The 13,733-nt window shown below is 41.0% G+C and overlaps 1 pseudogene, besides 1 other annotated feature; it reads right to left on the bottom strand.

Moving 5' to 3' along the window:
- On the bottom strand, positions 3,831–5,025 carry MPHOSPH10P8 (MPHOSPH10 pseudogene 8; annotated as a pseudogene).
- Positions 6,708–7,210: an enhancer, noted in NCBI's record as "H3K27ac-H3K4me1 hESC enhancer chr15:28790612-28791114 (GRCh37/hg19 assembly coordinates)". NCBI's record gives its function as "activates a minimal SCP1, AML or CMV promoter by ChIP-STARR-seq in naive H9 embryonic stem cells {active_cell/tissue: H9 hESC(naive)}" and the evidence as "EXISTENCE:reporter gene assay evidence [ECO:0000049][PMID:30033119]".

Below are 13,733 nucleotides of genomic sequence, written 5' to 3'. Positions count from 1 at the left end.
TGATGGGGGAGAGAAAAAGGACATAAATAACTCCTACTCTCATGAGTTAATCACTAAATCCGATTTTTCTAGAATCACCTGGCCTCTAAGCCCTGAAAATGAAACTGAATTTCTCACTCGATACTTGGCTATGACTTGCAATCATGAAAACCAAGAATTGTGTTATGTCACTGTGTATTGCTTGTTACCTGGGATCAAGGGTTGACTTTTTCATGATTTGCTCCATTACCTGTGTGCTTCTTCTCCCAGTCCAAACTACGCTTTTTTCTAGAGTTCTACAATTTACAGTTAGTATGTAAGGGTGGCTCTCAAACATGTAGTCTCCGGACCAGGAGCACCTGGGAACTTCTTATAAATGTAAATTCTCAGGCCCCACCCTAGACATGAATGAATCAGAAACTCTGCAGTAGGGCCCAGCAATCCGTGCTGCAATAATCCCTCCAGGTGCTCAGGAACCTCTGCCATACAGCAGGTAGAAAAATGTGTTTCCTTCTGTAGGTCCAAAGCCAGGGATACTATATGTTCTGTCTCAATATGAAACAATGACATGCAATTAAAAGACATAAATCTCCTTCCTACTTCCACCCTCCAGCCAGTGTGTTTTATTTTTATGAGTTCAATAAGAAAACGTGTGGCAATCAGAGATTTCATCTAAAAAATATATCTACAGGTATCAGTTCTCATCCAGCCTGATCTCATCCAATATCATTTCTATCCTCTTACATCTAAAGTTTTAGAAAAGGATTTTCACAACGTAAGACTCAGGCGCACTAGGAGTTCTATGATAAAAGACCAAGTAGATCTGAATGTCCAAACTTACTAGAGAAGAAAAGTGGACTCATTGGCTATATTTTCAAATTGCATTCAACAGGAAATTAAAGGTTTGAATTTTTTCCACCTTCATCCTTCCAAGTTAATAGAATTAAACCAGAATACTCCATTCTTCCAAAGCCTGTAGCCAGGCAAACTTTTACTGTATTACTTCTTGCTTTTCAATGGATATAAAGCAGAGTCCTGGTAGGCACATTTTGTATACCTGCAAAGATGCAAAACTAAACAGTTCCCTCGGTTCAATATTAAAACAAAAGTCCTGTAAACCTCAGATGGTGAGTGTAATACTTCAGCACTAGCACGAAAGCCTCAAATATAAAAAGATACCAAGAACCTTGCTAGCAAACCAAAGTAAGCTCTTGGCCGGGAGCAGTAGTTCACGCCCGTACTCCCAGCATATTGGCAAGCTAAGGTGGGGTAAGTCAGGAGTTAAAGACCAGCCTGGGCAGCATAGCGAATTCATATCTCTACAAAGAAAATTTAAAAATTAGCTGGGCTTGGCGGCACACACCTGTAGTCCTAGAGCTACTTGGGAGGCTGAGGTGGGAAAATCACTTGAGCCCAGAAGTTTGAGGCTGCAGTAGCTATGATCATGCCACTGCACTCCAGTTGGGGTGACAGAGCGAGAGCTAATTATTACATTCTGTCCTGCTCCTGTTTCCACTAAAATCACTAACTTAAAATGTGTTCATTCAGCAGGATAAAAATTAAGTGAAATTTGACTTTGGTGCTTTGCTAGCAAAAAATAAATAAATAAAGTGAAATGACAAATTACTTACTGGGAGAAGATCTTTGTAACCTCAATGACAGATTAAAGGTTTGTATCCTTAGCCTATAAAGAAATCTTTTAAATTACTCAGAAAAAAAAAATGAATGATTTGCAGCAGAAAATGGGCAATGGAGAAACCAGCACTTCCCACAAGAATAAAAATGGCCAATGAGCAAATGAAAAAGATTCAAAAGCACTAGAAATCAAAGAAAGGTAATGAAAACAATGAGATTTTCTGCTTAAAGACCAGCGAAGACGACAAATGGAAGGCGGAACCTGGAGCTCTGTCCCTGTTGGTGGGAGCGTAAACTCAACCAATTTTCCTATAGGATGATTTGAACATTTGTTTTAAAAATCCTAAAACTGTTTTATATTATTTTCTTCTAGAAATTCTACTTCTATGAATTCAGTGCAAAAATCCTCACTCGAGTCCATTAAAATATATATAGAAGGAAATCCACCTCTGGGGTGGCAATGATTCACTTAACATACATCCAGCTGTTGAAAGTGATGATGCCAGGATATATTTCTCCCATAGAAACATGCTTAAAATATAGTAAGTGACAAAAGACCATGTATTGTGATTCTACTTTTTAAAATGTTTACAGCATAAAAAGTGTGAAAAGCAACAAACCGGAATGTTTTGAGTGGCAAAATTAAAGATTTTTCTTTACATTTTGTCATCCAAATTATTACAAAAACAATGTGATTTCCTTTATAATCATGGAAAAGTGTTATTTTCATTTATTTATATTTACATTTCTTTTCTTTTTCTTCTTTTTTCTCCTGTATGTATCCCACATAGGCTACAGAGCTTAAATCCCTGCCTCTTGAGAGAAATCAGCCCGTTTTCAGGACATGCAATACACAAAGCTGCCCCATCTTCCCTTTATTTTTATTTTTATCTTATTTATTTATTTATTTATTTATTTATTTATTTATTTATTTATTTATGTTGAGATGGAGTCTCACTCTGTTGCCCAGGCTGGAGTGCGGTGGCGCATCTCAGCTCACTGCAACCTCCATATCCCGAGATCAAGCGATTCCCCTGCCTCAGCCTCCCGAGTACCTGGGACTATAGGCATGCACCACCATGCCCAGCTAATTTTTGTATTTTTAGTAGAGAGGAAGTTTTACCATCTTGGACAGGCTGGTCTCGAACTCCTGACCTCAAGTGATCCGTCTGCCTTGGCCTCCCAAAGTGCTGGGATTACAGGCATGAGCCACTGTGCCTGGCCTGTCATATTATTTCTAAACATTTGAGTGACATTTCAATTAAGTGAAATTTAATTCTTACTGACCTGATCTCTTATCCTCTGTTTAATGATACCTTCCAGTTGAAAGGTGTTTCCTCTGTAATCACGGGTGCCAAAGGAAATACAACATGTATTCATTAGGTGGATATCCACTAAACCACGGATTCATGCATTGTAGTCCTTAGACCCTCAGCATCAGAAACACGTGGGAACTTGTTAGACATGCAAATTCCTGGGCCAGCCCCACACCTCCTGAATCAGAAAGTGGGGAAGGACAGCTATCTGTGCTTTAATAAGCCTTGAGATGCTCCCTGAAGTTTGAAAACTACAGAACTAGAATACATATGGTAGTAAGTGCTCATACTTTATCCAAGGTACTAGGGACTCTTCCCCTCTTTTCCATTCTCTTTTCTGTTGAAATAAAATGAGAGCTCCTTTTGACTTAATGGGTATAAGAAAGAAGGCAATGAGATGACCAGGGTTTCAAGTTAGAGTTCAAAATTTAATCAGTGGACAGTGACAGGATGCAAGCCTTCTAAACAGATTGCTGCAAGGAAGCTGATTATAATCTATACAGTAGGTATCATTAGTGTATTGATGTTAAATTTTGGGGGTGGATTAATGGTATTGTGATTACATAGGAGAAGTCCTGGTTCCTAGAAGATATCTGCGAAAGTACTTAACAGTGAAATGCTCTGATACTGCCAACTTACTTTGAAATGATTCAGAGGGAAAAAGGGCACATATACAATCTTCCATACGCAGAAGACAGAAAACAAGTGTGACAAAACATTAACTAGTGAATCCAGTTGAATAGCATACAGATGTTCACTGTATGATTTTATCAACTTTTCTGTGTTTGCAAGTTTTCAAAATAAAAGTTGAGGGAAAGAAACATCACCCCAAATCTTTCTATGAAATGGGACCACAGAAAAAGCAGAGAAGTGAACACTTTGCAGAAAAGAGCACTGCACCCATCCGGACAGCATGGTCAAAGTGCAGGCTCTCCTCCAGGAGGCTCTTCTCTGGTCTCTTCTGTGCTGTCACTTCCCCCACATGCAGCCAAGGCTTTTTTCTAACAACTCTTTTTCTAAAGATGTAATTTTTGTCATTCATCTAAGAAAGAGAAGAAAAGAATTAGTATACATTTAGAAAATAAAATTACACTTACATTTGTGAAAAAGCAAAAAATACTTTGAAAAGTGGGGAAGCAAGAAATGTACTGTTCTACAATTCTGTTCTGTTCTTACCATCTTTTTATTCTGCCAATGACTTCCTATTCCTGCTGTGTATGGTGGGGTGAGCTGCAAATGATTTCTTTTCCTCATTGATTTAAAATCTCATGTTTATAATGTACCAAACTCCCCCAGAAGCATTTGGGTTTATTTCTGGGCTCTATTCTATTCAAGTAATCTATCTGTTCACAAGCCACTATCAATTTTGATTATTGGAGCATCCTAAAGTTAAGTAATTGTTGTTTTTGTTTTTGAGATGCAGTCTCTCACTCTGCCGCCCAGCTGGACTGCAGTGGCGTGATCTAGGCTCACTGCAAGCTCCACCTCCCGGGTTCATGGCATTCTCCTGCCTCAGCCTCCCGAGTAGCTGGGACTACAGGCACCTGCCACCACGCCTGGCTAATTTTTTGTATGTTTAGTAGAGATGGGGTTTCACCTTGTTAGCCAGGATGGTCTCGATCTCCTGACCTCGTGATCCACCTGCCTCGGCCTCCCAAAGTGCTGGGATTACAGGCGTGAGCCACCGCGCCTGGCCCTGAATTTGCTTGAGTTTTTAGCTCTCTCACCCATTTCAGGATTGTCACCACCCATATCTGACACGTCCTCCTCCTCCTCTAAATCTTCTAGGTCCTCCTGGCCATCAGCCTCTGTTTCTGAACCAGCCTCTTCATGCTCCTGTTCTTCACTCTCTGGGAGAAGACTGATATCTTCATCTTTCTTTCACTAACCGCATTCTGGAAGCACGGTAAAATTGCTTCATTTTGCAATTCCAGTTGTTGCAAAGTCTGCTCATCATCAAAACTTTCTATCACAAGTTTTTGTAAAGAGCTGCCATGGATTCTACCATTCTCTACTGTTTTATTAAAGTCATAAAGCACTTTTGTTAAAGAAGTGAACTTTGGTTCCAATCCATCTTGAAACCTATTGGGAGGAATTAAATGAGATTTAGAATTATAGATAATAATTTCACAGCCCTCTTAATTAAAAGAAAAATAAAAACCTCAACTCTTCTGTAAAATCAAATTTGAATAAAGTGTAAGTATAGATTCTGGCCCCAACAATATATAAGCTGATGAGCCACAATGATATATAAAACCTGTCAACCAAGTATTTGTGAATCAGCTGTATAGATTGTTGGCAGGAAAAGCATTACAAATCTATTTGCTTGGAGATATATAGTGAATTAGCCTTAAATTATCTACTCTGCTACATTATATACCACTCCATTCATTCATTCCCTTATTCACTCAATGATCAACATTTGCTTTGGCTACAGTGGTCAAGGAAAACCTCTCCTAGATGTGACATCTGAGATGAAACTTACAGACAAGTATAGTCTTATAAAGATTGGGAAACATGTATTCCAGGCGGAAGAAACAGCAAGAACAAATTCTCTAAGATGCAATTGAGCTTGGTAAGCCTGAGGAATAAAAAAAGTGAGCATGGCTATAGCGTGAAGGAGGCAGAAGGTGAAGTTGGAGAGACTGATGGGAGCCAAATTCTGCAGGGCTCAAGGGTAAGAGTTTGCCGTTTTAAGTGTAATAAGAAAATATGAGAAGATTTTAAGCAGAAGGATGAAATGATGATTTATACGAAGGAAGAAGAAAGGGAGGAAGGAGGAGGAGGAAAGTAGAGTGATTAGAAGGTTGATGCAGCATTCCAGGCAAAGGATGATGGTGATTTAAGCTGGAGTTAGAGCAGTGAATATGCTGAGTACAGTTTGGAGGTAGAACTGACAGGATTGCTAAGGAATTAGATACAGAATAGAGAAAAGTGAAGACATCAAAATAGCAGCCTAGTTTTATGTGCGAGCAACTGGAGAGACAGAACTGCCATTTAGTGCGATAGGCAAGGCTTGAGTGGTGGAGCAAGGGGAAAGGACTTCAGCGGATGGCAGAGTGTAGGTGGGTAGAAACAGCATTCTACTGTATTTTGGACACAGTGAATTTGTGATGCTGAGAGGACCAAAATTTAAAAAATTGTTAAAAACCGTACGGTGCGGATATCCCAGTTGTGCGCTACTGAATTCCAACTAAGCTCAGTCTGGAGTTGCTTGTGAGCAAGGAACTCAAGGGAGAGGTTGGAGTTTGAAACATAAATGAGTCATAATTTTATAGGTCATATTTGAAGTTCTTCAACAAAATACACATAAAACGTTTGTGTTGGGAAGAGACATGAAAGTTCTAATTCTCAAGAAGCTTAGTGGGGTAGACAGACAAGTGACAAGTTTGTGTTTTCAATAAAGTATGATGGCAGGTAAACACTGAGTGCTTTAGGAGCACAGGCGGAAGGAGAAACCAACACAGTTGTGTGTAGGGGGATGGGGGCCGTAATAAGCCTCAAGGGGAGCTTATAGGCGTGAATAACTGAGGTTAGGTTGATTTCAATAACATTCAACTGAGAGATCCATACTGTAAAAGTTTTAACAATTTTTAAAATTTTGATAGCCTAGGTCCTCTGAAATGTGGGGAAAAGTGATTTACATTTCCCCTTACCTTCCCCCAGCTCCACAATTTGCCAGGGGTCTGCAACCCGTGTCCACGTGCGACCGCAGTCGCACCCAAGCCCGGGATCTGTGCACTTACGTGAGGATGCTCTCGGGCCAGCCAGTGGCTTTGCCCACCTCCCTCAGACACCGCTCCAGGGTCCGTCAGCGCCAGGCCCATGGGCCATGGCTGTCTGCAACTCCCGACACAAGCTGCAAGGCAAGAGAGCCGCTGGGAAACCGCACCGCAAGGATGCTGGCATTGGAACAGGAATTAAAAGAAATGAAAAAATGTGTAAGCAAAAACTCAGCTGTATGTAAAAAAAAACCAATTCCCCCTGAGAATGAGAAAGAGCCTTAGTCCTTTAAAAAAACTACCTGTTTTCCTATGGCTAGTGAGCCTTATCGCTCCCTTCCCAGGCATTATCAAAACCCTAATTCCCTAACTGTGCAACTGCAAGGTCACTAAACAAACGAATGCAAGTCACAAAACATATTTTTCCTAAAAACATAAAAAAAAAAAAAAACATAATGCGTGCTTCAATTAAATAACCCTCTGTTTCTCGCTTCTGTAATATGCTTCCCCCTGCACAGATCTACCCGGGCTCCACAAAATGCTAAAAGATAACTCTTTATTCAGCTCAACGCTTTGATCTGCCTGGCGTGGTGGCTCACTCTTGTGATCCCAGGACTTTGGACGGCCAAGTAGGGTGGATCGCTTGTGCCTTGGAGTTCCAGACAGGCCTGGGCAACATGGTGAAACCTGGTCTTTTTGTTTTGTGTTGTTTTGAGACGGAGTTTCGCTCTTGTTGCCCAGGCTGGAATGCAGTGGCTGGGTCTCTGCTTGCCGCGACTTCCGCCTCCCGGGTTTCGGTCGTTGTCCTGCATCAGCCTCCAGAGTGGCTGGGATTGCAGGCATAAGCCACCAAGCCCGGCTAATTTTGTATTTTTTTTTTATTTTTATTTTGGTACAGATGGGGTTTCTCCCTGTTGGTCAGGCTGGTCTCAAACTCCCGACCTCAGGTGATCCACCTGCCTAGGCCTCCCGAGGTGCTAGGATTGCAGGCTTGAGCCACCGCTCCCGGCCCAATTTGTTAATCAGAAAGGAATAGATCGTCCTGGTGTGGTGGCTCACGCTTGTGATCCCAGTACTTTGGATGGCCCAGCGCGGGGTATCCCTTGAGCCTAGGAGTTCCAGACCTGCCTGGGCAACATGGTGAAACCCGGTCTCTCTCTCTTTTTTTTTTTTTATGAGGCGGAGTTTCGCTCTTGTTGCCCAGGGTGGAGTGCAGTGGCTGGGTCTCCGCTCGCAGCGACTTCTGCCTCCAGGGTTTTAGTAGTTCTCCTGCCTCAGTCTCCGGAGTGGCTGGGATTGCAGGCCTGACCAACATTGCTCTGCTAATTTTTTTTTATTTGTTTTTGGTAGAGACGGGGTTTCTCCATGCTGGGCAAGCTGATCTCAAACTCCAGACCTCAGGTTATCCGCCCACCTCGGCCTCTGGGGATGCTGGAATTGCAGGCGTGAGCCAGCGCACACACCCAATTTATTTTTATTTCATTTTTTATTTTTATATATATATACTTTTGAGACGGAGTCTCACTTTGTCACCCAGGCTGGAGTGCAGTGGTGCGCTGTCTCGGCTCACTGCAACCTCTGCCTCCCAGGTTCAAGTGATTCTCCTGCCTCAGCCGCCTGAGTAGCTGAGATTACAGGCGCCCGCTAGCACACCCATCTAATTTTTATTTATTTATTTATTTATTTATTTATTTTGTATTTTTAGTAGAGATGGGTTTTCATCATGTTGGCCAGGCTGGTCTCGAACTCCGGACCTCAGGTAAACCCACCTCGGCCTCCCAAAGTGCTGGGATGACAGGAAGGATCGGCCTGGCGTGGTGGCTCACGCTTTTGATCCCAGGAGTTTGGACGGGCCGAGCGTGGCGGATCCCTTGATCCTAGGAGTTCTAGACCAGCCTGGGCAACATGGTGAAAACCGGTCTCTCTCTCTCTCTCTCTTTTTTTTTTTTTTTGAGGCATAGTTTCCCTCTTGTTGCAGGGCTGGAGTGCAGTGGTGCGGTGTCGGCTCCCCGCGGCCTCTGCCTCTGGGTTTGGGTGGTTCTCCTGCCTCAGCCTCCGAGTGACTGGGATTGCAGGCGGGAGCCACCATGCCCGGCTCTTTTTTTTTTTTTTTTTCTGGTAGAGACAGGTCTCTCCATGTTGGTCAGGCTGGTCTCAAACTCCCGACCTCAGGTGATCCGCCCGCCACGGCCTCCCGGGGTGCTGGGACTGCAGGCGTGAGCCACCCTCCTGGCCCAATTTATTAATCAGAAAGAAATAGATCGGCCTGGCGTGGTGGCTCACGCTTTTGATCCCAGGACTTTGGACAACCGAGCGTGGGGAATTGCTTGAGCCTAAGAGTTCCAGACCTGCCTGGGCAACATGGTGAAAATCTGTCTCTTATTATTATTTTTTTTTTTTTTTTTTGAGGCGGAGTTTCCCTCTTGTTGCCCAGGCTGGAGTGCAGTGGCTGGGTCTCCGCTCGCGGCGAATTCTGCATCCCGGGTTTTGGTGGTTCTCCTGCCTCAGCCTCCTGAGTAGCTGGGATTACAGGCACCTGCCGCCACACCCGGCTAATTTTTTTTTTTTGTATTTTTAGTAGAGACGGGTTTTCATCATGTTGGCCAGGCTGGTCTCAAATTCCTGACCTCCGGTGATCCACCCACCTCCGCCTCCCCAAGTGCTGGGATGACAGGCGTGATCGGCCTGGCGTGGTGGCTCACGCTTTTGATTCCAGGACTTTGGACTGGCCAAGCGTGGGGGATTGCTTGAGCCTAGGAGTTCCAGACCGGCCTGGGCAACATGGTTAAACCCAGTCTTTTTTTAAATTCCTTTATTATTATTATTATTTTTTTTTTTTTTGAGACGGAGTCTCTCTGTCGCCCAGGCTGGAGTGCAGTGGCGCTATCTCGGCTCACTGCAGCCTCTGCCTCCCAGGGTCAAGGGATTCTCCTGCCTCAGCCTCCTGAGTAGCTGGGATTACAGGCGCCCACCACCACACCCGGCTAATTTTTTTTTATTTTTTAGTAGATCGTGGTAACTGCCTTAAAATGATGATTGTTCAGAAAGTCAGTTTAATTTAGATACTAAGGATATTGAGGTTATGTAACATTTGAGCAAGTTCTAAAAAAAAAGAGAAATAGTATATTTAATTGCTAATAAAGTATTGTCAACTCACAAATATATTCACATAGCATACATTTCAAGAGCAGAATAACCATGAATATAAAAGGAATTAGCAAAAACGAGACAAAAAAGACATGAAGAAATAAAAACAGATGGAACAAATAGCACAAAATACGATGAAAGTTATAAAAGAAACTATGCCAACAATCACAATAAATGTAAATAGACTGAATAATTAAGAGAAAATGACTATAAAACAGAATTAGGGCACGCGTGGTGGCTCATGCCTGTAATCCCAGCACTTTGGGAGGATGAGGCAGGCGGAGGGATCACAAGGTCAGGAGTTCGAGAGCAGCCTGACCAACATGGTGAAACCCCATCTCTGCTAATACAAAAATTAGCCGGCGTGGTGGTGAACATCTGTAATCCCAGTTACTCAGGAGGCTGAGGCAGGAGAATCGCTTGAATCCAGGAGGCAGAGGTTGCAGTGCCGAGATCACACCATTACACTCCAGCCTGGGCAACAGAGCAAGACTCCGTATCAAAAAAAAAAACACACAAAAAAAACACAAAAAACAGAAAATAAACAGTATGAAAAGACATCTAAAACATAAAGTCACAGAAAGACTGAGAGAGATTGAAAAAAGATACACATGTCATATGTACCCAACCCAAAGAAGGGTTGGAAGCTATATTATTATCAGATAAAATAGGCTTTGGGCAAAAAGCAATATGGGAGATTTTTTAAGGTCACAATATGATGATAAAAATTCTAATAAACCAAGGGAGAAGGTAATCTAAAATGTTAATGTATCTAATAACTAGCACTCAAAATACATGAAAGCAAAATATGACAAAATTGCAACCCTCAGAGGGCAATTTAAATACATATCTCAGTATCTGATAAAAGAGACAAAAAACAATCAGCATAGACATAGAAGATTTACATCTCTCTAGAAAATTAACAAGCTTGACCTAATGTAGAGAAAAAACATATCTCTCCAAAGTGACAGCATTCACCCCCCCCAAGTACATATGTACTGAGCCATAAGGAAAATCTCAACAAATTCCAAAGAAGCGGAATCATGCATCCATCTTTCTCTCTAACCATAATCTCATTAAACTAAAAACAATAATAAAAAGATAAAGTAAAAAGCCAGAAAGGCAGATGCTAAATGAGAAAGTGACAGAAAAGTTACAGATTTTGTTAAGCATACAAAGCTTCTATAGGGTAAAGCAGTCAAAGGGATATGCAAATTTACACAGAAATCCAACCGATATAAATCCTTGAAAGATACTACATACAGATATTTCATCAGTTCTCACATGCCAAACCCAGCAAAGCCAAACTTTGGAGCCTCCCCTGCGAGCAGACCTGCCACAGGAGGAGAGGCAGCACAAACCTCCCTTTGCAGTGAAAATGCCACATTGTGTGTGCTTCTTACCCCATCACCTCTTTGGAAGTGGCCCCACTCAGTGCTAGCTGAGAATCGCTTCCCTCATACCACTCTCAGTAGTTCACCCCAAGACACACTGGACAACTCTGTACCTGGTAAGTCATTGTGAATCCAATTAATAATGGCATTCAGAAAGTTAGGAATCTTTGAATTATTAGATTCATAGTGATATTCAAAAGAAAGAAAACGACATCATTTCTGTTCCACGCATGTTGCCCACATTCACTGCGTAAAAGGCAAAGGGAACTGTGAGTACCCACAAAGAACCTGATATTGACGGCACATACATTTCTTCATTAGGAAGAATAAATTTAGACTGTAACAATTTAAAAAACCAGAAAATACAACTGTACATTTTAGCTCTTATTAAAATCCAAGAGGTTTAACTTATTTGCTCCTTGTTTAGGTAATTAGTGTCTAAAACATTTCAAAGATAACATATATAGTGGCTACGATTTCTAGTACTTTTTAAAAATTCAAGCCCAGTCTCTTCTAATTAAATGTATAAATGATTTATCTCTGTCTTTCTTAAAAAGAACCAAGAGCCCCAATTAAAAAGTAAAACTTAAATTTCCTCTTAAAAAATTGTTACGTCAAAATTATCGAATAAACCATAGTTCAGAAAATAATTTCTGAATTAAGAAAATATGAATAATAAAACCAACAGTTTATGTGCTGAATTTCAAATTTTTATTTTTTATTATTTTTAAAATTTTGTTTTAAGTTCTAGGGTACATGTGCAGGAGTGTTACGTAGGGAAACGTGTGCCATGGTGGTTTGGTCCACCTATCAACTCATCACCTCAGTGTTAAGCCCAGCACGCATTAGCTATTTTTCCTGATGCTCCTCCCCCACCCGCCCTGACAGGCCCCAGTATGTGTTGTTTCCCTTCCTGTGTCCATGTGTTCTCATTGAACCTCACATTTTTAAATACAGCATATGCCAGGTGTCATTTCAGTACCCATGATTATACATAGTATAATTATACATAGTATATGTATATGTGTAAATATATGTATATGTGTACATATATGTATGTAATATGTGTATGTAAATATTATGTAAATATGTATGTATGTAAGTATATATGTAAATATGTATGTGAATGTATGTAAATATATACACATGTAAATATGTATGTAAAAATATGTACGTAAATATATGTATATATATAAATGTAAAATATGTAAATATTTGTAAATGTAAAATATGTAAATGTAAAATAAATGTAGAATGTCAAATGTAAATGTAAAATGTAAAATAAATGTAAAATGTAAAATAAATGTAAAATGTAAATGCAAAATATGTAAATATATGTATATGTGTAAATATATGTGTGTAAATATATATGTATATGTGTAATATATATGTATATGTGTAAATATATATGTATATATAACACAGCATACAGCATATGCCAGGTGTCATTTCAGTACCCATAATTATACATAGTATAATTATACATAGTATAATTAGACTACTATGTTAGCTAAAAAATGTTGATTAGATACAAATGTATAAATTTATCTTCTCTAAAAGTGGAAATTCTCTAGAGGCTATTTCCAGCTTCTGTGTGGATTGTAGAGCAGGCTGCTACCTGTACCCCAAAAATGAACACCTTAAAAAAAAGACAAGTTTCTCAGCCTCCCTATTGCACACACATATGAAAAATATGTTAAATTCAACGCCAACTATTCCTGAGATCAACACAGCAGTGATCCCAAAGAGAAAATTTCTCTTTGCTAATGGGCACAAACTTGAAGGGCAAAGCAGTGGAAGGGTAAGTCTGCAGACTCGGGTGGGGCTCAAGTCAGAATCACGTGGAAGATCATTGCCACATGTTTTTGTTTTTTTAAATAGCAAACACCACCAAGTGGAGCCCGCCGGGTTTAGTAGATATTAAACCTCTAAGGAGTGGCACATCCGAGACTGAAATTCCCATCTTTTGATTCCCAGCTCAAGGTCTCTGAAATGCCAGCACCAGCTGTGAAATTGTTCTTCTGCATTTTCATGGAGACCTTTTCTTCTATACTGCCATACTCTTTTTTTTGGAACAGTTATACCTGATCTTCCTATTTTTGTGTGTGTTCCACCGAAAGTTTTTCACTCTAAATACTTCCCTCTTTCCAACTGAGCATTTACATCTGTAACAAGGACAAAAACATCTAACATCTCTCTCACCCTTGGTTTGTGTTTTGTTTTGTTTGTTTTTGAGACAGGGTCTTGCTCTGTCACCCAGGCTGGAGTGCAGTGGCGTGATCACCGTTCACTGCAGCCTCGAGCTCCTGAGCTGAAGCAATTTTCCCACCTCAACCTCTGAGTAGCTGAGACTATAGGTGTGTGCCACCACGCCTGGCTAATATTTGTATTTTTTGTAGAGATGAGTTTTTGCCATGTTGCCCAGGCTGGTATTGAACTCCTGGCTTAAGTGATCCTCCTGCCTAGGCTTCCCAAAGTGCTGGAAGGAATTACAGGTATGAGCCACCGTGCCTGGCCTCACCATTGTTAAAATTATGGAA

The sequence above is a fragment of the Homo sapiens genome, chromosome 15, assembly GCF_000001405.40.
Source record: "Homo sapiens chromosome 15, GRCh38.p14 Primary Assembly".
Classification (NCBI taxonomy): Eukaryota; Metazoa; Chordata; class Mammalia; order Primates; family Hominidae; genus Homo; species Homo sapiens.
This window is presented reverse-complemented; position numbering and strand designations above follow the sequence as displayed.